The 23,511-nt window shown below is 37.3% G+C and overlaps 2 protein-coding genes across 2 annotated transcripts; both read right to left on the bottom strand.

Annotated features, from left to right (window-relative positions):
- Positions 1–145: 145 nt before the first annotated feature.
- Positions 146–10,120, bottom strand: OR6P1 (olfactory receptor family 6 subfamily P member 1). Its single transcript, NM_001160325.2, has 3 exons — positions 9,982–10,120; positions 6,304–6,398; positions 146–3,166 (listed from the first exon to the last, which is right to left on the bottom strand). Exon 3 carries the CDS (start codon positions 3,142–3,144, stop codon positions 2,191–2,193), a length of 954 nt encoding a protein of 317 aa, NP_001153797.1. The 5' UTR covers positions 3,145–3,166; positions 6,304–6,398; positions 9,982–10,120; the 3' UTR covers positions 146–2,190.
- Positions 10,121–18,458: 8,338 nt separating this feature from the next.
- On the bottom strand, positions 18,459–19,439 carry OR10X1 (olfactory receptor family 10 subfamily X member 1). The gene has a single exon (NM_001004477.1). The coding sequence runs from the start codon at positions 19,437–19,439 to the stop codon at positions 18,459–18,461; it is 981 nt and encodes a 326-aa protein (NP_001004477.1).
- Between the last annotated feature and the right edge of the window lie 4,072 nt (positions 19,440–23,511).

Below are 23,511 nucleotides of genomic sequence, written 5' to 3' on the forward strand. Positions count from 1 at the left end.
TAAATGCTTACTGTGAGTTAACGGTATTACATGCCAGAAGGTCTTCTTAGGGTCCAGCAAACAAACTGACACACTATAAAAGACCTCACCTGGCATAAAATTAACTCAGGGAAGCAGGATAGCAAATCCAACATTCTAGAAGGGCAGTTTTAGGAGTTTCTCTTACAGAAAGGAAGTCCTGAAAGCAGTTGAAGGAATAGACTCTGTCATTTAAAGTCTTAGCTCAGGTAGGTGGACATAAGATTTTCATCAAGGGGTGCAGAGTCCACCTTAACTTGGAATTTTCAAGCCCTGTAAGAGCCTATATCACTTGTAACAATTTCATGGGCATCCATAGCTTCTAGAATTCCCTCAAAAGACATGCCAAGTTACAAAAGTAGCTTGAAGCTATTATTTCCCACTAGATATCCTTAATACATTCATCATCCTCCCAGTCCAGAGGTCATTTGCTGCTCAGAGATAATTTGTGCCATAAGTAATTTTGTGTAGTAATGTTTATTAGGTTTCTAGAGAACCAGAACTAGAAATTAATCCAAGATCAAATTTATCCAAAAGGAAAGAGAAAAAAAATGCTAACCCTTTGCCCGCATATGTGTTATTTATTTAATATTCACAACAAGCCCATATGATGGAAAGGGTATTATTTTTATTATCAAAGAGAAACTAAGAGCAGAGATGTAAAGTTTCTTGCCTATGATCACATAACTTGTTATTAGTAAAGCCAGGATCAAATTGAAATTTGCTCGTTCTAGGGTCTGAATTCTGAACTCCATGTCTCTCATAATTCTATGAAAGGAGAGGAGAATGTAATGTAAATTGAGCTATGTTCAGAGCTGTTTCTAAGGCTATTTAGAAATTTTATGAAAACAAAACAACTTAAACTGTTTTAAGTATCAGATCTTTTATTGTTATTTTGTTTTTAATACTGGAAAATCTAAAATGATTGTTGATAAAGTAGCTTGCATTGATGGACACATGTCTTTTTCTCCCTCAAAATCTGTCTCGGAATAGGCAAATGTGCACTGACCAACAATCCGTGTTTACTGGAATTTGTTCCAATATGCATATTTATTGTTATTGCATATTTATTTTGTTTCACATATCCCACATCTAAATAATCATTGAATTTGGTTCAATATGCAGAAATTTGTGTAAATGAGCCTAGATTCAAGATAAGAAAAATTTCTCTGAACAATTCAAGTAACTTTCCAAAAATCAAAGGAACTTGCTAGAATACCTATGATTCAGGCTATGAACCTGAGACATCCCAATTGCCATAGAGATATCTGCATCCTATCTATGGCTCTTCAATCTTCTTTCTTATGAAGGCATTTTCTGTTCTTACAATCCTTTGACTAGGAACACAATTTAAAATATTTCACTATCGGTATAGCCCTGGCACTAATTACTTAAAACAGGTGCTGGCCATAGCGAAGGAGAAGATCTGTATATAAGCTTTCTAGAACATTTTACCTACTACCTGGTCAATATTTGTTAGGTCAACCAGCTTTACATGCCCCTGAGATTCAAAGAAGGGAGATGGAGAGGATAGTTAGCCATATTGAGTCAAGAATATATGGCTGAATATCAGCACTGCATCTCTCTCTGCTTTGACTTTCAGTGAATATGAGTTTTGTAGATAAGATGATATGAAATTAGGTCTTGGGGTATAACCTACTTGTGTAGTTTCTTATGAAAGTGGGATTTGAGAATCTGGATCTTTGAAATTGTTACACTGAAGTCTACCAAATTTTTTTCTTGGCATGTCCACCAGTAAGTTCCCTTGTTTTCTCATATTATATTTTCTCACTTACGAAATAATGGGCTTGGTCTAGACTAGGGAATCCCAAACTGTCTATGAAATAGGAATTCCCAGGAAGTTTTGAATATTATTCACGGCAGGGTTACATTCCACACATACTCAGTAAGACTCTCCACATATTTTTTTGGGGGAATCTGTATTTTAACAAATTCCCAGGTGATTCTTCTGTAGCTAGTCCAACCTTAGTTTGAAAACCCCTGTAAAAAATAAATGATTCATAAAGTTTCATTTGTATCAGAAGGTCCCAGACAATATTTAGAGAAAATGTTGGCAAATTATATTTATGTTCCCTTAAAGCCTATTCTGATTCCTTGAGGAGGCCCTATTAAGATTCTGCTATTTTCACCTCTCCCAAGACCTGTTGTATATCAGTCCTGAACATCCCTAGGATAGTGACATCTGCCCATCACTGTCTTCCTGAAGGCCTCCTTCACCTCCTTGTTCCTCAGGCAGTAGATGGCTGGGTTGAAGAATGGTACAATGATAGTGTAGAGCACAGAGATAATCTTGTTGTGGTTGAAGGTGTACATGGCCCGGGGCCGTGCATAGGTGAAGAGAGTGGAGGAGTAGTAGATAACAACCACTGCCAGATGAGCGGCACAAGTGGAAAAGGCTTTGTGGCGTCCCCTGGACGTAGGGATCCTCAGGATGGCTGCAATGATGGCAGTGTATGATGAAACCACAGCCAATAGAGGGAGTAGAATCATCACCAGGGCCAGAAGGAAGTCTACTAGCTCTGCTTGCTCCTTGTCAGAGCAGGTGAGGTTGAGTAGTGGGGAAATATCACAGAAAAAGTGGTTGATAATGTTGGGTCCACAGTAGGACAATTGGGAAATAAAAAGAAGCTTCATCATGGAGCTGAAGAAGCCACTGCCCCAAGAGGCAGCAGCAAGGCGAGTGGCCAGACTGGAAGGCATGAGACTAGGGTAAAGGAGGGGTCCACAGATGGCCAGGTAGCGATCATAGGCCATAACTGCCAACAGCACACATTCAGTACAGGCTAAGGCAATAAAGAAGTACAGTTGGGTCATGCAACCTACGTAGGAGACTCTACCATCCTGGGTAAGAAAGGCTGCCAAGAGCCGAGGAATGGTGACATTGATGTACCATAGCTCCAGGAAAGAGAGATGGCCAAGGAAAAAGTACATGGGACGATGAAGGCTTGGAGCAAGCCATATTGTGAAGACAATAAGTGCATTCTCCAACAATGTCAGAAGGTAAATTGCAAAAAAAAGGACAAAGAGGAGCAGCTGGAGGGGAGGCGTGGTAGGGAAACCCACCAAGACAAACTCCTCGACATGGCCTCCACTCAAATTTCTCATGGCTCTCTGTCCACTTGAGTGCCTAAAATAAATCACAGGAAGAACAAGAGGTTTGAAAGATAGCTGCAACAAACCACCAACATACTCTCACAGGTTATAACCACTGAAGAGCTTAGTGGCATATTAATTATTATAACATTTTTCCTCTTCACTTTGCTGTTTTTTCTCTCACCTTATAGGAAAAGTTAACAGACCTGAGTACTCAATTACCTAGCAATCTTAACTACAGTGGGTATTTGATAAATACTTTCTGAGTGATTTCAGAACTGCTTGGCATTTTGATTCTTGTTTTCTTGTCCAGGACATGCTCTTCCTTTACATCCCTTAGAAACAACAATAAACTCCTAAGCCCACAGCACCTTTACTCAGTATCTGTTGAATGAGGGAATAAAAGAAAGTGTGACAGCAAGCTAGAGCCTACAAGCTTATTTCTCAAGGGAAATTGTACTAAGGGGAAGTAATAACTCAAGGAGATTGCTTGAACTATAATGCAAGGCAACACGGCAGTATGAAGATTGCTCTGAAAAATATTCATTTCCAAATAGAGAGACAATTCAATACAAAGGAGATAATGAAGTTCTGCTCCAGAGAATAGTTATTTTTCCGTTCACTTTACATATATTTTTGAATACATTTGTAGTGCTAGAATTAGGCAGTCTTATTTCCAGGAGGTATAACAGATTAAAAAATTGAACTTCTGAAAGTTGTACATGTCTTAATTCCTGGAATCTATAAATGTTACATCATACGGCAAATATTTTGCAAATGTGATTAAATTAAGGACTTTGAGATGGAGGGCTTATCCTGGATTTTCTAGGTGGGCCTTAAATACAATGAAAAAGGTCTTTACAAGACAGAGATAGAGTGAAATTTGAAACGGACACACAGAGGAGAAGGCAATGTAAAGATGAAGCAGAGACAGATTTAAGGATGCTGGCCTTGGAGACTGCAATGATTTGGCCACAAGATCTTTATCTTGAATGAATGCCCACAGCCATCAGAAGCTAAAAGAGGCAAGAAGAATTTCTCAAGAGCCTCCAGAGGGAGTGCGGCTCTGCCTGTGCCTTGAATTGAGCCAAGTGATACTGATTTTGGATTTCTGGCCTCCAGAACTGTGAGAAAATAACTCTCTGTTGTTAAAACCCACCATATTTGTGGCAGTTTGTTACAGTAGCCATGGGAAACTGATGCAACTGGTGAGGCAGGAAAATGAAAGAGGAAGTCATTTTCTCAACCATTCTTCTATGCTTTTCCAGTCTTCTTTTAACATTGTCAGTGACCTGACGTCTCCAGGGAGACCCTGGTAAAATTACAAGTCTGACTTGAGATTGGGTGACATGTCATTAAGCATTTTTACTTTTGGTGTGATATAAGTACCTGTCTTTAAACATTATTTTCCTCTAAGAAACTTAAAAAATGATATACTAATTTGCATAGTTTTAACTTGACATCAAATTTTTTATTTTTATTTTTATTTTTAAAGGATGAGTCCTTGCTGTGTTCTTCAGGCTGGACTCAAACTCCTGGGCTCAAGGAATCCTTTCACTTCAGCCTCCTGTGTAGCTAGGACTACAGGCACAACATCTACTTTTTATCAGACATTTATGTGGCCACAGGGAGTCTAATTTTTTACTGCATTATGAGAATTGAACTTTTAAATGAAACTATTAGATTACTTCTTTATGTATTCAATGAAATCTAATGAAATCTAAATATCAGTGCTATGGTAATGATATCCACTGATACTTGTTTAAACAAGTACACAAATGAGCGTATCTTTTTAAAACTGGAAATTTTAAATCATTTATTTCACCAAAGTCACAATTCATGGTATTGTAATATATTTATAATTGCAAGTCTTTTATTGATTTCTCTGTATCATCTACCTACATGTTTATTGTTTCCTGTACTTTTAAGACTATGAGTGCTTTATAAAAGATTTTCTCTAGCTGTTATATAATTAGCATACATTTACCTAAAGCAATATAAATATAAATATATAAAACATCTAAAAATACATTGGACAAAAATTTTTAAATTTACTGGAAAACTATCTCATAATAATGTATATTATGCTTTTGTCCAATGTTTGCGTGTATTGTAAGACTTATTACCACAATGAGAAACATTTTAGCATCGATTCTATTCTGAATTTTCATTTTGGAGGTGTAAACACTAAGCAAACTAGTTCACATATAAGTGATATTGATGTACCATAGCTCCATGAATGAAAGTTAGTTTTGTTATAGAAATAACACTAGATTATTTAAACTTTTTATTAGTTGTGTGCCAGAAAATATTCAGTAACATATCATCAAAATTATTTTCATTCATCTATTAGCTGACAACTTGATTAGCTTCTATTTCAATTGCATTGAAAGAAATAGATTGCAAACCACTGACCTGCAAAAGGATTTGATACCCAGTTATTAGCCATTTACTTTCTCAACACTGACATTGGCAATGGCATTAACTTACACTCTTGGACACTTCCATATGGCAAGATTTTGCTATGCTTTTCCTTGTTAAAAAAAAATTAAAGAGAAGTGGGAAAGGAAAGGACACTTTCTCTAGCAGATCAATTTTAAGAGCTCTTAGAGGAGTTGAAGATGAGAGAATCAGTCCTTTGGAACTATTCTTGCCTGGACATTGGAAGATTTTTATTTTTATTTTTATACCCTCAAGTGTCCAAAAAGTCCAGTTTGGAAACAGTGACTTTAATGCATCAGATACTTTTCGGAGTGAGAGTTTAAAGAGAAGGTATGAGTGGTAAGGTTAGGGACAGGGTAGGAAGGAAGCCCAACATGCCTCAGGAGTAGGTAATAACAGAGGATGGGAAAAACTTGAAAATGATGGCTGGAAATTCTCAAGAGACAAGGTAAGGGAATTGAGATGCTAAGGCAGACTGAACAATGACAGAACATCTGAAAGGGGACTTGTCCTTACCCCTCTATTATCAGTGTAACAGAGCAGTAGCAAATCATAGTAGGCACTCAATAAATATTAGTGGAATGAGTTTCAGTCTTGATTTGTTTAGTCTTGAATTTACATCATTCAGATTGATATTATACTTTGAAAATATAGGTAATTGAACTAAAGGAAAACTAGGGTTCTTTTCCAGTTATTGCACTGCATAAAATTGGTGAAATTCCAACCTACCAGGGTCAGTCCTGAGGGATGTGGGAAAGTTGTTGGAAAACGGAGTGAAGGGTGGGAAGCAGCAAAAGAAACCACCATCAGCGTCAACAGGCAACCTACAGAATGGGAGAAAATTTTTGCAATCCACTCATCTGACAAAGGGCTAATATCCAGAATCTGCAAATAACTCAAACAAATTTACAAGAAAAAAACAAACAACCCCATCAAAAAGTGGGCGAAGGATATGAAGAGACACTTCTCAAAAGAAGACATTTATGCAGCCAAAAGACACATGAGAAAATGCTCACCATCACTGGCCATCAGAGAAATGCAAATCAAAACCACAATGAGATACCATCTCACACCAGTTAGAATGGCCATCATTAAAAAGTCAGGAAACAACAGGTGCTGGAGAGGATGTGGAGAAATAGGAACACTTTTACACTGTTGGTGGGACTGTAAACTAGTTCAACCATTGTGGAAGACAGTGTGGTGATTCCTCAGGGATCTAGAACCAGAAATACCATTTGACCCAGCCATCCCATTACTGGGTATATACCCAAAGGACTATAAATCATGCTGCTATAAAGACACATGCACACGTGTGTTTATTGCGGCACTATTCACAATAGCAAAGACTTGGAACCAACCCAAATGTCCAACAATGATAGACTGGATTAAGAAAATGTGGCACATATACACCATGGAATACTATGCAGCCATAAAAAATGATGAGTTCATGTCCTTTGTAGGGACATGGATGAAATTGGAAATCATCATTCTCAGTAAACTATCGCAAGAACAAAAAACCAAACACCGCATATTCTCACTCATAGGTGGGAATTGAACAATGAGAACACATGGACACAGGAAGGGGAACATCACACTCTGGGGACTGTTGTGGGTTGGGGGAGGGGGGAGGGATAGCATTGGGAGATACACCTAATGCTAGATGACGAGTTAGTGGGTGCAGCGCACCAGCATGGCACATGTATACATATGTAACTAACCTGCACAATGTGCACATGTACCCTAAAACTTAAAGTATAATAATAAATAAATAAATAAATAAATAAAACTAAAACCACACACACACAAAAAAGAAATTTACTGACTGTTCACAAGTTTGTTGGAAGCCAATCCTGCTCTGTAGCCTACAGTGACTTAGATTGTCTGCTGATTCAAAGACAAGACTGCAAGTTGGTCCCCTTGTGCCCAGAGGTGCCTATACCCCTCCCTCCTGCCCACCCCTCAGTCATATTATGACATCACCTTCACGAGTTTCAAGCTCAGTTGCTGAAAACTGAACCCTTTTTGCTATTTAACCTGGCCTGCTACTGCAGAGAAATTTCTTCTCCAACCAAGGCAACTTCAGCCCCTATTGTCCACCAGAAATTGTCTGTTCTTTTATTCTTTTCCTGCTCCCAGTCTGCCCTCCCTGTTTGAAGAGGCCCTCCTCGATAGACTACTTCTGAATCATAGTACTCAGATCCCCTCTGTAGCTCTGAGTATATCACGGCACTGTGCCCACTGAACTCTTCTTGTATTTGTTCTTTCTTTTTGTTTCTTACTTGCTTTAACTTCTAGGTGTGTCTTCTCCATCATCAGTCTGGGAGCCCTTCCTCCTCTATTAGTGCTACAAAATTTTTATATCAAGGGAGGATTCTACCATTAGCCTGCAATGTTAGCAGTCACACAGTGATGATCTCTTTAAACATACCCTTCTCATTTGGCAACTTAGATTCCAAGTAATAATTAATGGGGAACACCTTGAAGAATTCTCCTGTTGTATTTTCCCTCAGAACCAAGAACAGCTCTTTATGGGTTGGTCTTCTCAGGACTAGATGATATTGATGCTATTGTACAATTTATCTTTTATTTGCCTTTGAATGCTCCCCTTCAACATTACCCTCCCCTTTACTCCTGTTTTCCATTCCTCTCATTTATTCCTCCAGTCACAGCAGAGTTCTTCAAGACACCACTCTGTTATTTTACCTCTGGTCTTTTGCACATGAATAAACATAATAAACAACAAAGCCTCTGTGAGGACTTTGTCCAAAAAGTCCTTCACACTCACAGCTGCTATTATGACCATGACTCTATTAATAGATCTATGGGGTAGCTATGTACCTTCCTGGATTTGTCCTCCTTGGTAGCAGAGATCTCACTCATTGCTCTATTCTAGTGAAGTTCATTGCTTTGGCCATAATACATAACCAACGTATATTTATCAAATTAGTTAAGAAATAAATAAGGTAATACTTTAAGAACTTGGAAATTTAAGAGGTAGAATGTCATTTCAGGGGTGGAATGTCGAACCTGTTTTATTATTTGTGAAATAGTTCTGCTGCCACTGCTGGTAATATTTGTCATTCCTACTTCACTAGATTATATCACATTAACAGAGACGATTACCTGAGAATTATTTGCCCATAATATGAAACAACTTATTATTGTAAAGCACATTGGTGATACCATAGCTCTGTGGGCCTGAAACCATGTAGATATCACTTGGATCTTCCAAATTAGCTATTCACACCAGCACATTTGCCTGGATTCCTGTTTAACCTCTACCTTTTAGGTGTTACATAAGTGAAGGTTAGTAGTAGATTGCCTGGTGTTCAGTGGTGCTCTATGGGAAGCAACACAAGCCTTCATCTGGAGACACATTGGGCAGAGCCCTGTGCATAGGTATATCCCACTCCCAGAGAAAACTACCTGTTTTGTTTTTCTTTGTTTCCCTTGAATTCCTCATTTATCATCACAAATTGAAGAATCTTAATGCACCTACCAAAAAACTGGTGAATTAACAACTGAAGACTGTCTGAGATTATTATAATTACTGTCTTCGTCTCTATCTATAAGGCATATGAAGAAGATATAATAATAATTCATTACTCTGTGCAGGGTAGTGAGTATTTTTCATATGCTAACTTAATTCTCACAACAGCCCAGTGAGTTTAAGCACCATTATTTCTATTTGTAAATGACACAGAAAGATGAGTGATTTTTTTCCTCAAGATCATACATCTAGAAAATTGCAGAAGTGGAATAAACTTTGATAATCTCGCTATGCAGGTATGGTGGGAAATTTAACCTCTATCCTGTACATCTTCCATGGAAATAAGTAAATGTCCATGGTTATAGCCAAGTGGACTCATTTACATAACAATAAAGGGTTTTTGTTTGTTTGTCTTCTCTGTGTATGGCAGTCAAATTCATTCAATAGTTTTTGTTTTTTTTTAAATCTCATTCGAATTCGTAGATATAGACTTAATATGATAGGTATTTCTTTGGGTCTTGCCTTAGGGCAAGGGAAGTGCTACAGCCTAAACACACAAAGATTGGCTTCTGCCTCTCTTATCATGGCTTTCTGCTTTCTGGGTTCCCCTTTCCCACACATATTTTCCTGCCCTGACCAATGCCTTCACAAATCTCTAACATTTTACCTCATTGCCACTTAAAAAAAATCCCTCACCCTTGTGAACATTTCAGATGCATTTCTCAGGTGCTATCTCTAGAATCATAAACACATGAACAAAAGATTAAAATGACAGGGTACTCACTCTGAGATGTTCGAATGATTAAGCTTTTTCAAATTTTAAGCACATTTTATATCTCAAGAAATTCAAGCAATTTTCAGGATTATACGGAATTGAAAATCATAGGGAATGGATGAAGGATTTGAGGGTGTCTAACCTGAATAAGAACAAAATTTGTCACAGAAGTTCACCTACTTCTTTGCTTGCCTGTCTTCCACATTCACACATATACCCTGCCTTTTGATATTTGTCAATAGGCTGATTAACTTTTGCCTCTGGGCAGGTATGGTTTGCCCTAGAAACTCTTCAATAAAGTTGATACTTCATGCTGGTCTCTAAGTTGTTTGTGGCACGGTAGGGCTGAGGTTTTGCAGATGGGGCCCTGAAGCAAACAGAGGCAGCAGTAGCAAGCCCTTATTACATTTCCCTTATTATATTCTCATCAGGGACATAGCCCTTAGTATGCATTGTCATGGTGACCTACCTCTCCCCAAGAAGACTGTGTCCAAGTCGCCTCAGGGACCCTTTGTTCTAGGGCATAGGTGATACAATGAAAAAGCATTGTCCAGAGGGACACGGGTGTGCACTGAAGTGGAGTAACGTCCTCGGGTTCATTGCCTGAGTGTCATCCATGTAGTGCTTCCACAAACCCTATTTTCAGAAGTGCCTAAGAGGCGCCTAGATATAATGATAATTCAAAACTAAAATTCTGTTGAGGAAATAACACAATAAAGTAAGAGTTATGGACAAGTTAATTCTGATAGCTTATTTAGACTGTTACATTTTTTGAGAAGATGTTTATTTGTTAAACTCTGTTCACCGTTGCCTCTTATTACTTGTTTGTGCTTATGTATGAGGGAGAAATGCTTTATCTCTCTTCCATAAGTCTACAAGCTCCGTGAGGAAAGCCTGTTTGCTGCTTGCCCTTCTTTACAACCCTTTGTAAATAAAACTTGGTGCACGGGGAAGATCTCAGGATAATTGGTGGGAAGATGTGTAGAGGAGTGCTTGTGAATTCCTGAGTCCTGCCTCAGATCTGAGTCTGTTTCTGAAAATAATGGGGTTTTCTTTCTCTTACCACTCTGGTTTTCCTGACTGTCATTCATACCCAGGTTACTTCTTTGCTTCTTGTTCTTCTGAACTGTAGCAAATGGAGTAGGGTTCCTCGTGGGGTATGTGCTAAGCAGCCTGTCACCGAAAGTGTTCAAGCAGAGCCCAGACGACCTGTTTAGGATGCAATATTGGAGAGGAAGTGCCTCCAGTAAAAATGATGGCTCTCTTCTCTTGGCAATAATGACAATTTGTTGTTACTGCAGAACAATAGAGTTGTAAGTAAATACTTTGCAAAAGATTAAATGATGCTATAAGGAGTTGGAGAAATGCAGTTATTGCAGAGATTTTAGCTCAAATGGTAAGGAGATGGTGACTTTCAGAAAACACAGAAGGCAGAACAACATGAGAAAGCCAGGGATGAGTTCAGTCTTGACATATTAAGCTCAAGGGAAAGGCAGGTATATGCAGCAATAAATCAGAAATATTGGCTTGGATCTTAAGTCTGTCTTCAGTTTATAAACTTGGGAGTCAGCATTAATAAATATGTAAAATCACACTTGATAAATGTAACCAGAGGAACAGAGTTGAGAACAAAAAGAAAGAGAAAGATGGAAAGGAAATGCTTGAGAAATGCAGACCAAAGAAGGAAAAAGACCAAAAATTGTCCAAGAAAGGAATTGTAAGAGTACAGTGTTTTCTGGAAGTTAAGGGGCTAGACAATTTCAGGAAGGTGAGGGTGGTGATAAAACAAGAAAAAAGTATTAAAATAAAAAAGAGGAAGCTGTTTTTACACTTTTTCCTATTGGTGCAAAAAATACACAATTGCCATTTACTGAACAATCACTGTATACTGGACATTTTGCTAAAAACTTTATACATATTTTATTTAATTATCTTAGCAATACAATGTAGCTATAATCCAAACTGCCAAGTTTAGAATGGTACAAAAATACAACTGCTTAAATAAGATAGAATTTATTTCTCTTTCATATAGCCCTACAGTGATGAGTGGTCCATAATTGGCATGGCCTGTGGAGCAGCTTGATTTCACAAGATTGTAAAAAGCACAGGCAGATGGTTGGTCCTCCCAGACTCAATAGAAGGCTTCTATTGGAAGTCCAAGGCACTGTTCTGTTTTTCCCTGTCCTCACCATCAGGAAAGCAGAAAGAGAGAAACTGATCTTCAGAGAGAGAGATACAGAAGTTTCACCCATCATTTCCACTTATATCTCATTGATTAAAAACTTGGTCACTTAATAGTCAAACCCGGCCACAAAGAAAGCTAATAAATGTAGTAACTAACTGGCCATCTGTGTACTCAGCTAAAATTCCAGAGAGTTCTATTACTGAGCTTGTAGTGAGAATATATATTATCACTGGCAGTTTCAGATACAAGAAATTATGATCCTGTTAAAGAGGTAAAAATGATGCTTAAAAAAAGTAAGTGATTATCATAGAATCACACACTTAGTATATGGCAAAGACAGAAATTAAACTCAAATCATATTGATTCTGAGTTTATTTTTAGATGACTGTGGATTCATATGCAATTATCAGAAATAATACAGAAAGATCTCACGTATCCTTTACCCAATTATCCTCAAGAGTAATATCTTACAAAACTATACTATGCTGTGACAGCTAGGATGTTGACATTGTTACAGTGAAGGTACAGAACATGTCAATCACCACATGATTCCATTCTGTTGCTCTTTTATAGGCACATTAACTTTTCTCTCACTCACATTCTTAACCGTTAGCAGCTTGGCAACCACTAATCTACTTTCAATTTTAATAATTGCTTCATTTGAAGGATGCTATACACACACACACACACACACACATATCTCTGTGTATATATATATATGACAGAATCACAAACCTAGTAAGTGACAGAGACAGAAATTAAACTGAAATGTAAATATTTATATATTTATAAATATAGTATGTGTTTATAAATATATATGTATATACATATCTGTATGGATTTATAAATATACATGTATACATTTATAAAGGTACATACGTATATTTTTTAGTGCTCTTGTGAATTCTTCTCTTCAGTGATTATACTTTCAACTCTAGAGTTTTCATTTGGTTCTTATTTATATGTGTTTATAGTATGTACCTTTAATGATATTTTTCATTTGGTATAATTGTCTAGAGATTGATTTAGATTGTGTGTTTCTATCAACAGCTTGTCCCTTTTCATTGTTGAGTAATATTTCAAGATATAGATATACTACAGTTTAAGTAGTTTCTTCTTGAAGAAAATTTTGGTGGTTTCCAGTTTGTGTGTGTGTGTGTGTGTATGTGTGTGTGATGCAGTTTCACTCTTGTTGCCCAGGCTGGTGTGCAATGGTGTGATTCTGGATCACTGCAACCTCTGCCTTCTGGGTTCAAGTGATTCTCCTGCCTCAGCCTCCTGAGTAGCTGGGATTATAGGTGTGTGCCACCATGCCTGGCTAATTTTGTATTTTTAGTAGAGACAGTGTTTCACCATGCTGGTCAGGCTGGTCTCGAACGCCAGACCTCAGGTGATCCGCCTCCCTGAGCCTCCCAAAGTGCTGGGATTACAGGCTTGAGCCACCACGTCTGGCCTCCAGTTTTTGATTATTTTAAATGAAGACAATTTTAAAATCCCTGAGATTGAATTCTTAGTTGACAAGTTTTGTTTTGTTTTTTGAACACTGAGTATGTTATCCCACTTTTTAGTCTTCATTGTTTCTGCTAAAAAGCCATCTGTTAAATTTATTGGGGCTGACTAGTAAATAATCAGCCATTTTTCATTTGATGCTTTCAAAATTTGCTCATTGTCTTTGACTTTCAGCATTTTTACTATGATGTGTCTTTTTGTGTACCTCTTTGCATTTATCCTATGTGAAATTTGTTGAGCTTCCTAGATGTGTAGCTTTATGTTTTTCAATAAATTTGGAAAGTATTCTGCCATTATTTCCTCAAATATTTTTTTCTTCTCCTTTCTCTTTGCTCTTTCTTCCTGGTACTCTCATTACACCAGTTTTGGTGTGTTTAATTGCACCCCAGACTTCTCTAAGGCTCTATTTTTTTCATGTTTTTTTTTTCTCGTTCTCCTTTGAGCTGCATAATCTTTATCACTCTAACTTCAAGTTCATTATTTTCTTTTCCTGTTAGTTCTAATTTATTGTTGAGTGCTCTTGTAAACTTTTCTCTTCAGTGGTTATACTTTCAATTCCACAGTTTTAATTTGTTTTTCATTTATAATTTCTATCTCTCTGTTGGTATTCTGTATTTGATATGATATTGTCATATATCTTCCTTTACTTCTTTAATCATGATTTTCTTTACATCTTTAAATATATTTACAATGGTTACTTTGAAGTCCATCTTTTAGATACGGCATCTAGTCACACTCTCACCAGCAGTTTTTGTTGTCTGATTTTCTTTTTTTTTCATATGGGTAACATTTTTCTCTTTCTTTGCATAGTTTATATTGGAAACTGGAATTTTGCATAATATATTGTAGAAACTCTGGTTACTGGTCTTTCTCCCTTCTCTCCCCACTAGGTCTTTTTTTCATTATTTGCTCGTTTACTTGTTCAGTTGCTGGCTGGATTATTTTTGTAAAGTCTATCCTCCCCTATACTTCTGCTGTGTTAAGTCTTTGATGTTGCTTTTCAGAGGATACACATATGCCTAGTCACCTTGGGGTGACAATAATTTTGGCAGAGCTTATGTTGTCCCTTTTCCTGACTACATCCAGCTTTTAATCTAATAATTACCTGCTGATTGCTCCATTGTTTCCAAAATGCCCTAGAACATAAGTTTCTCTACTGAGTAATGCAATAAAATTCAGACTTCTTTGAAGGAATGATTACTGAGGTCAGTGTTTGCAATTTGTTATTACCCAAAGAGGGTTCCTCCTGGCTCTTTCTTTTTCCTGTTTAGAGGATGTATTAAATGATATTCAGGTGGAACAGTCTATTCTGAGGATGTTGGCCAACAATATAGGTAAATTCTATAGTGATCTTATGTGGGTACTGTATCTCCTGAGTGCTCCCATAAATCTGTATAAACCTTAACTCATATTGCATCATAATTTCTTAGCCTCCCCACTAGCAGAATGTAAGTTTTTTGAGAGAAAAAAATATATCTTGTATGTTCTTGTTTTCCTCATGGTTAGTGTAGCGTCTTGAACAGAATGAGTTATTCATATATATGGAAGAGACAAATGGACATTTTTTTCACAAAAAGCAATCTACATGTAGATGCAGAACAGAAGTAATTTATCTCCTATTTTGATTCTTCATTAATGTCTTACTATATTGCTTATTGACAGGAGAGAATATTTTCATTTCTTCCCATTAAATAAATTTCTTGGGTATAAAAATTTAGAAAACCCTAATGAGAAATTGGGTCAGAGACAAAGTCTTGAATTATAATAATATCTTAGATTATAGAAGAAAGACATGATATAAAAAGGAGAAAAAGAGTTTCACATGTATGCTGAAGTATGTAGCTATAGTTTATTCATTTTTATTACTTCATGCTGATACATACATGAATATGGCATAATTTTTCTATCTATTCTGTAGTATATTAGCTGAGTAATTTTTGGCTCTTGCCATTTTGCAAATATTGTGTCTAAGGACATCTATGTATGTCTTATGACACACACGTGCAGACTAGTCTTTAGGGCATACACATAGGAGTAGAAAAGTTTAACCACAGGGTATGAGAATCTCCAAAATAAATTTATAATACTAGACTGTTTTCTAAAATGACTGAACAAGTATACACTCTTATTAAGAGCACTGAAGGCCAGGTGTGGTGGCTCACGCCTGTAATCCCAGCACTTTGGGAGGCCGAGGTGGGTGGATCACCTGAGGTCAGGAGTTCGAGACCAGCCTGGCCAACATGGTGAAACCCTGTCTCTACTAAAAATACAAAAATAAGCCAGGCGTGGTGGCAGGTGCCTGTAATCCCAGTTACTTGGGAGGCTGAGGCAGGAGAATCGCTTGAACCTGGGAGGTGGAGGTTGCAGTGAGCCGAGATCGCACCATTGCACTCCAGCCTGGGTGACAGAGCAAGACTCAACTCACAAAAAAAAAAAAAAAAAGGAGCACTGAAGAGTTCTTGTTGCTTCATGTTTCTTTTTTGACACTCGTTAATCTAGCCTTTTAATTTTAGCCATTCAAGTGAGTATGTGGTAGTACCTCACTGGGGTTTTAATGTTCATTTTCATGCTTACTAATGAGACCAAGCACCTTTTAAGGTATTTATTGAACATTTGGATATTCTCTTTTATAAAGGATCTATTTGCATCTCTTAGAAATTTTTCTATTGTCTTTTAATTTATTTTTTGAGAATTTTATTTCTTTTAGAAATTATTTATACAGCCATATACCACACAATAATGTTTTGGTCAATGACAGACCACAAAGACAATGATGGTTTCACAAGAGTATAAAACGGTATTTCTACTGTACCTTTTCTATGCTTAGATATGTTTAGATACATAAACACTACTGTGTTAGGACTGCCTACAGTATTCAGTACAGTAACATAATGTACACATTTGTAGCCTAGGAACATTAGGCTATATCATACAGTCTATGTGCATTGTAGGTTTTTGTAAGTACATTCTGTGATGTTTACACATTGACAAAATCACAAAGTGACACATTTCTCAGAATACATCCTTATTGTTAAGTGACGCATGACTGCATATACCAAATGAGGGCCTTTGCCAGTTACATGTTAGAGACTTTTTTATCTTTCTGTGCATTGCTTTGTTTAATCCTTACATTAGAAAATAAAATGTAAGCACAGAAAATTATTTAAACAAATACATAGCTTAGTGAATCTTTCACGGGCAAAAGCCTTTGCAGTTACTACCTAGACCAAGGAAAAGAACTTTGCCCATCAGGAGTTTTTCATGTGCCCCTCATCCTGCCCACTCACAGACCCTCCTTCTAAAAGTAATTATGATCCTAAATTTCATACTTATCAGTCTCTGAAATTTCTTTATAGCTATATGATTTGGCTTTCTTTTCCACTCTCTCAATAGCGTCTTTTTGATGAATAAAATGTCTCAATTTTGATTTAATCAGCCTTTTTCATTTTAGTTAAAAATTTTACATACAGTTTAAACAGTCTTTTCTATCTCAAGTTGGTGAAGATATCTTCTTCATTACCTTTTAAAGTTTTATTGCTTCACTTTTCAAATTTAGTTTTCGATTTCCAGAAATTGATTTTTTTTTTCAGATTTTGTTTTTCTCATATGGATATGCTATTTTCCTAGCACCAGTTATATTGAAAGTCTATCATTTTCTCACTGTACTGAAATGCTTTACTTGTCATAAAGCAAGTGCCCATATGGGTATGAGTCTTTGGGTATTTTCAGCTTCCATTTACTCACTTATTTCTGGCAACTAGCAATCCCCGCCACAGTCACTATATCAGGCACAAGCAGGCTAATTGGTCCAAATTTAGGTTCAGGATCTTGAGTCTAGACTTGACGTAACATCCTCTGCATCCATAATAAGGGAGTAAATAGTATTTATTTTTGAGACTTTTAGCTTCCCTAGATTGAATAACCAATTGTCGGGAGTGGAACCAAAGCAAAAGAAAATGCTTGCCACTAAGGAATGGCTGCAGATTGAAGGTAGCAGAGATTTTTGTCTGCACCTGTATCATGAAAATAATCCCAAAGAAAGAGTGTCATGGTCAGGGGTAAACTTAATCAGTTAATGTGCATAATAAATTTATCCACTATTTCATTTATTTCATAACATTCCCATAAGTAACAGAACTCAAAATTACATCAATACTCTTACATCTCTTATCAGAAATGATTTGTCTCATGGGAGGTGCATTTCAGTGCTTCATAACATTTGCCTAAAAAAAATCCTTAACTTTTACGTCTATTATTATTATTATTATTATTATTATTATTATTATTATTATTTGAGATGGAGTTTTGCTCTTGTCACCTGGGCTGGAGTGCAATGGCATGGTCTCTGCTCACTCTGCCTCCTGGGTTCAAGCTATTCTCCTGCCTCAGCCTCCCGAGTAGCTGGGATTACAGGCACCCACCACCATGCCCAGCTAATTTTTGTATTTTTAGTAGAGATGGGGTTTTACCATGTTGGCCAGGCCGGTCTCAAACCCCTGGCCTCAAGTGATCTGCCCACCTCGGCCTCCCAAAGTGCTGGGATTACAAGCCTGAGCCATGGTTGACATCTTTAGATATTTAAAACATCACTCAGTGCAGTGGATTTATATGCTGTTTTTTCCTTCCACACTTTTTACTCAATTCATGAATACTGCAGGACACCCGGAAGTTGATTATCAGAATCTTTTATCTGCAGGGACATTCTTCTTCTGATACTGGATAGTAGAAGGGTTGGACAGCTTCTCTAACAAGCTAAGTAGATGCCTGTGGCTACTTAGTTCCCAGTCTGTGTCACTTGCTTCTTACATCCCAACCTCTGGAACAAGGCAAATGGTACAAGTTTCTCCAGGGGTCACAGGATAAATGCCCCTATTGAATTCTGGGGACATTGAGCCCTTCTTCAAACAAGCAGCAACAACCCAAGATTATTTTTTCAAGGCAACTGTGTTTCCCATCATTCTTCTAAAAGCATTTTTCATGTCCTTATTCCTCAGGCTGAATATGATGGGGCTGAGGAAGGGGGTAATGACAGTATAAGGGACTGCTATGAGTGTGTCATCTCCTGAGGCTTCTGGCTTCAAATAAACAATAGATGCAAAACCAAAGTGGATTATAACCACGGTGAGGTGGGAGGCACAGGTGGTGAAGGCCTTCTGCTTGCCCTCAGCTGAAGGGATCCTGAGGACAGTAGAAATAATGAAGACATCAGTCAGGATGATGAGCAGAAGGGTACCCAGCAAACCAGACACTGAGATCAGTGTTATAATGAATTCTGTGTGGTTACTGTCTATACAAGACAGCCTAATAACTGCCAGCATATGGCAGAAGAAGTGTTTGACAAGGTTGGGTCTGCAGAAAGAGTCCCTGAATATCAGTGCAGTCTCTGTAAGAGAGATAAAGAAGCCTGCAGTGCAAGCAGAGGCCACAAGTTGTCCACATACAATGTTGGTCATAAGCAGTGGATATCTTAGAGGGTTACAGATGGCCAGGAAGCGGTCATATCCCATCAAAGTGAGAATGATACAGTTTGTGCCACCAAGTCCCAAGAAGAAGCACATCTGTAAGCTACAACCTGTGACTGAAATGCTTCTGTCCTTGGCCAGTAGATCTTCCAGCATCTTGGGGACGATGGTCAGCGTATAGCAGGTCTCAGAGAAGGAGAGTGCACTAAGGAAGAGATACATAGGGGTGTGGAGGGACCTGTCCACCCAAGTTAGACCCATGATGATCAGATTACCTGCAAGGGTGAGAAGGTAGAGACAAAAGAAGACCACAAAAAGAAATGTCTGTACATGTGGGTACACAGAAAAGCCAACAAGAATGAATTCCTTCAGGATTGTCTGGTTGATCTTCATCGTTTGAATGTCTGAAATTTGAAAGAAACAACAATAAACATTCAACACCATTATCTTTTGATACCATCAAAGGAAAATTGTGATGACTAAGATAAATCATCAGAATTACAATTACCAACTGCTTTTTCTTGTAGTTTAGCAAAACTATGTATATGTAGGTAATGTGTTTTTCTCATTTTTCATCCATTCATTTTTTCCTTTATTCAGCAGCTAATTAGTGATGACTTAGTATATGACATCACTATGTATATGACAAGAAGGCTTGCTCTGGCCTATTTTTAAAAGGATTTTATGAGCATGTGGTATAATATGGGAGGAAACACTCCAGTTGATGCTCAGATAAAGGAGGTTCAGATGCATTAGGTGAGCTTTATTTGGATGAGCTTCTGAACACAGAGAAAACTTTTAAGTGGCTAATAGAGTCAGGGTCCAACACAGAAACTTCCACACAATGTATGGTCTATAAATATTTACTGCGTAAATATCAAGAATTGATTTCCAAGTAATTTTAGGACAAAACTTGGACAATCACTTGCAATTGTTGGAGAAGCCCAAAGTCATTAACCCTTCTTGGAGAATATATTTAGGTCCTAGAATTTTAAAAGAAAGTTAAAAAAACATGTGTCATTATTTCTGCTCTGAGAAGAGGGAAAGAAGAAAGATAGGGTAGCCTAGGACTCTTAGGATTAATAGTAATTAATTAAATCTGTGGATGGTTTTGATAAGCAGACTATACAAGCATAGTGCAGGTGGCAATTGAGATTGTGTCTATTTTGTTAATTCCCAGCTCAGCATTCAAAGAAAATAAGTGGCATTTAATAATTGTATAAATTTTTCAATAATGCTACATCTGATTTAATCTCATAGTCCTCTGATTTCTATAGCATGTTGTTAGTCCCTATATTTAACACATTGTTTCAGCCCTGTAGTATATTGAGCTACTGTTTTCCCTGCCCCATATGTCAACATATTTAATAACTAGCATTTGTGGGGTTTATATTTTTCCAAATTATTTCAAATGTTTATTGATTTTACTCTTCACAGCATAAATATAAAGTGAATGGGACGGTTGCGAAATGGGTAGGACAAGTGTGATTACTTATTTTAGAAATAAAATTATGTCTTGGAAGTGGCATATTTGTGACTAGAAGCAAAGAGATTTGACTTGAATTGTATACTCTTTTCATTTATCAATGCTTAGTGCTTCAAGAAAGAGACCATAAGTCTTATATTTTTGTATTTTTCAGAGTAATAATATGGAGCACTTTAAGAAGGTAATAATTCCTGGTGAATGTTAGATGGATGAGTTAATCATCAAAAAAGTGCTTAGTATATAAATGATTTTTGTTTTCCTTTGTTATTCAGCACTGTATAGCATTTGATTTTTGAGCATGGAGGTTAACAGACTTTCCACTCTAATTAGGTTTTGTTTAGGCTAAGATTAAGCATTCTCATGGCAGAGTCTAACTTATCACTGACAGTCAGAAGACACAGTAGAAAAAAGGTCTGAATTATAAGTGGTTCCTAAAATAATCCACAACCCTTTGGACTCTACTTTAAAGGTCCCTTTGGTTCTTTGTCTTCTTAGACCTTACAAGTTTCTTACTCTCTGACAGTCATACATGAATCACATGACTTAATCTTTTCTTATCTCCTATCAACTCTTTCTCCATTCTGTTTCCCTTTCACTTACTGTATCTACTCTTCTTAGTGAGCAGTCATTTCCCAATAAGAAGACCATTTTTCTGTTCTCTTACCTAAGGGAATATTATAGAGGACCATGTCTATTATAACCCGGGGCTTCCTCTTGAGGCCTTTTGGTGTGAGCCTCTTTAGTAACCACATTCAGTACGAGTATCTTTGGTTTCCAAATCTACTTGCAGATGATTGTTCCACTTTTCTCTATGATCAGCTTTCTGCTACATTTCAACTGTTCAGAGGCATCTTTTTCCTTCCAGAAGTATTAGGCTTCAATAGGTTCCTTCTGCTTATTCCTAAGCCACTGCAAAAAATTCCTCCTATCAGTAGAGCACTTCATACACCAATGCTCCCAAGCACTCTTGACCCTTCACAGTAACTCTGTAAGAAAGGAAATTATGTGGATTCTACAACTAAAGGATTAAATATAGCAAAGGGTAAATATGAAATAGATTAGCAAAACAATAAGTTATTTTAGTACTTGATGGCCTTGGTACAAAACCCAAGCTTTTTCTAACATACTACCAGAAAAAAAACAGTCTGATTTTACACGTGTTCTACCTCTTCCAACACAGCCCTGGGATTTGAGGCAGGGACTAGGGGGCAGCGAGGGGGTTGGAGGAGGTGCTGTTTTTAAAGTCACCATTAAATTCATAAGCTTTTTGAAAATGCAAATAATCACCAATACAAATTCCAAGATAGGTCTTTTCTTATCTAGTCCTTACTTGACTGTGTGCTAAATATTTCCTTGGTGAATCATCAGCAGTAGAGTATAAATGTCAGAATCTCCACTTCTGGTATATTCTAAATGTGTGCGTGATTTTGTATGTGTGTGTGTGTGTGTTGTGAGGATATTATGTCCCACCCTACCTCATCTATCTCTGAAGTTGTCCCTAAATCCACCTGTGTCAAATTTAATTTGGGTTATGAATCCACTGACATATATATATGTCATATATGACATATACGTGACATATATATATACACACGCACACACACTCGCACATACACACACACACTTTCCAAAGAGAAATGGTGATATGGAAAAGATATGTAATGTTATCCCAATGACCGTTTCTTTTTGTAGTGACAATTAGTTATGAGGAGAAGAGAGTAAAACCGTCTAAAATAGTTTCCTACCTTGTTTATTTTATCAGGCTCCAAAGCCAATTAATTCACTGTCACGATTATATTCTTCCAAAAGATAATCTTCACAATATTGCTGGAAGCATACTTTTTTTCACCACTCAAAAGAGACTGAGATTGATTTAATATGAAAAACACTGGTGCTAGCTTAGTGACATTGGGAAAGCTGCTGTATCTTCTAGATTTGAATTTCTCCAGATGGGAAGTAAGAAAAAAGATCCTGAGTTTATGCAAGCTTTAATATTCTATGTCTTTAGAGTTCTGTGACATGAGTTGTGAGGTTAGGCCATATGTGATGTGATCAACCCCCACAGCCCACTAAATTACAATGGTTTAGAACCTTCCTTTCTACTGATTTAGAGATATAGTTTGATTATTATGAGTGCTTGAGATTCCTGAGCTCTAGAGGTTTGGTTTTGGTTAGGAGATCCTAAGGGATTCCTCTCTCTTTCATCAGAGAAAGCAGATAACTTCCCCACCCAACTTTGTAATTTGCTCTCATTAGTTACAGTGCTTTGTGTAACATGTGACTTTTTAAACTCTTTTGGGAGTCTCTGGAGATTTTAAACTTGCAGAGTTTATATCCTGCCCATAAACAATGCTTTCTGCTACTTTATAAGTTTTGTTTTGGCAGGGAGGGTGAATAAAATTTGCAACCCTAATGCTTATTCGATTCATTCTTTCAGTGTCAAAAATGCTCACCTAGACCAGACTTTAGTCACACTCCTTTAAGCTCTCTTCTCAACTGGGCTTCAAATTATCCATCCTTGTTGAGTCTGTACCACCTAGTTGTAGCAAGAACATTGCTAAGTCAGTTTGGAGAGAATCCCTTACCCTTGATATTCAGTCACCTCAACATCTAATAAAATTCCTCATCCTCCACCATCCTCTGGGTAATATCTAATCATCCTGGCCTGTCTTCAGCAATTGTCCTGTTACATCAGTTCAGTGAGAATTCCTCCTTACTCCTGATGTGGAGTCCTATTCACTGACTCCACTACCCATCCTTTGGCTATGGATCCCCAGTTTTCCACAGTGTATTCAAAATTGAGCCCAGTATTAAATGGACGTCTGTTTTTCTCTATTGCGATAGCTCCTGAATAAAATATATTTTGCTATCTTAACTACTGCGTAGTTCTGGATTTCATTGACACCACTCACCACAAATATATTCACTATTTCCCTTTCATCACTGACTCCCTTTCTGGGTACTTAAGAAAGATCTACAGTGTGTAAAAGACTGCTCCAAGCATTGCAGGAGAACTCAGAAAAATACAAG

Source organism: Homo sapiens, chromosome 1 (genome assembly GCF_000001405.40).
Source record: "Homo sapiens chromosome 1, GRCh38.p14 Primary Assembly".
NCBI classification, from domain to species: domain Eukaryota; kingdom Metazoa; phylum Chordata; class Mammalia; order Primates; family Hominidae; genus Homo; species Homo sapiens.

Bases quoted from the DNA above. Each gene is read 5' to 3' on its own strand.
- OR6P1 (NM_001160325.2), bottom strand. From the start codon at position 3,144: ATGAGAAATTTGAGTGGAGGCCATGTCGAGGAGTTTGTCTTGGTGGGT.
- OR10X1 (NM_001004477.1), bottom strand. From the start codon at position 19,439: ATGGTGTTGAATGTTTATTGTTGTTTCTTTCAAATTTCAGACATTCAA.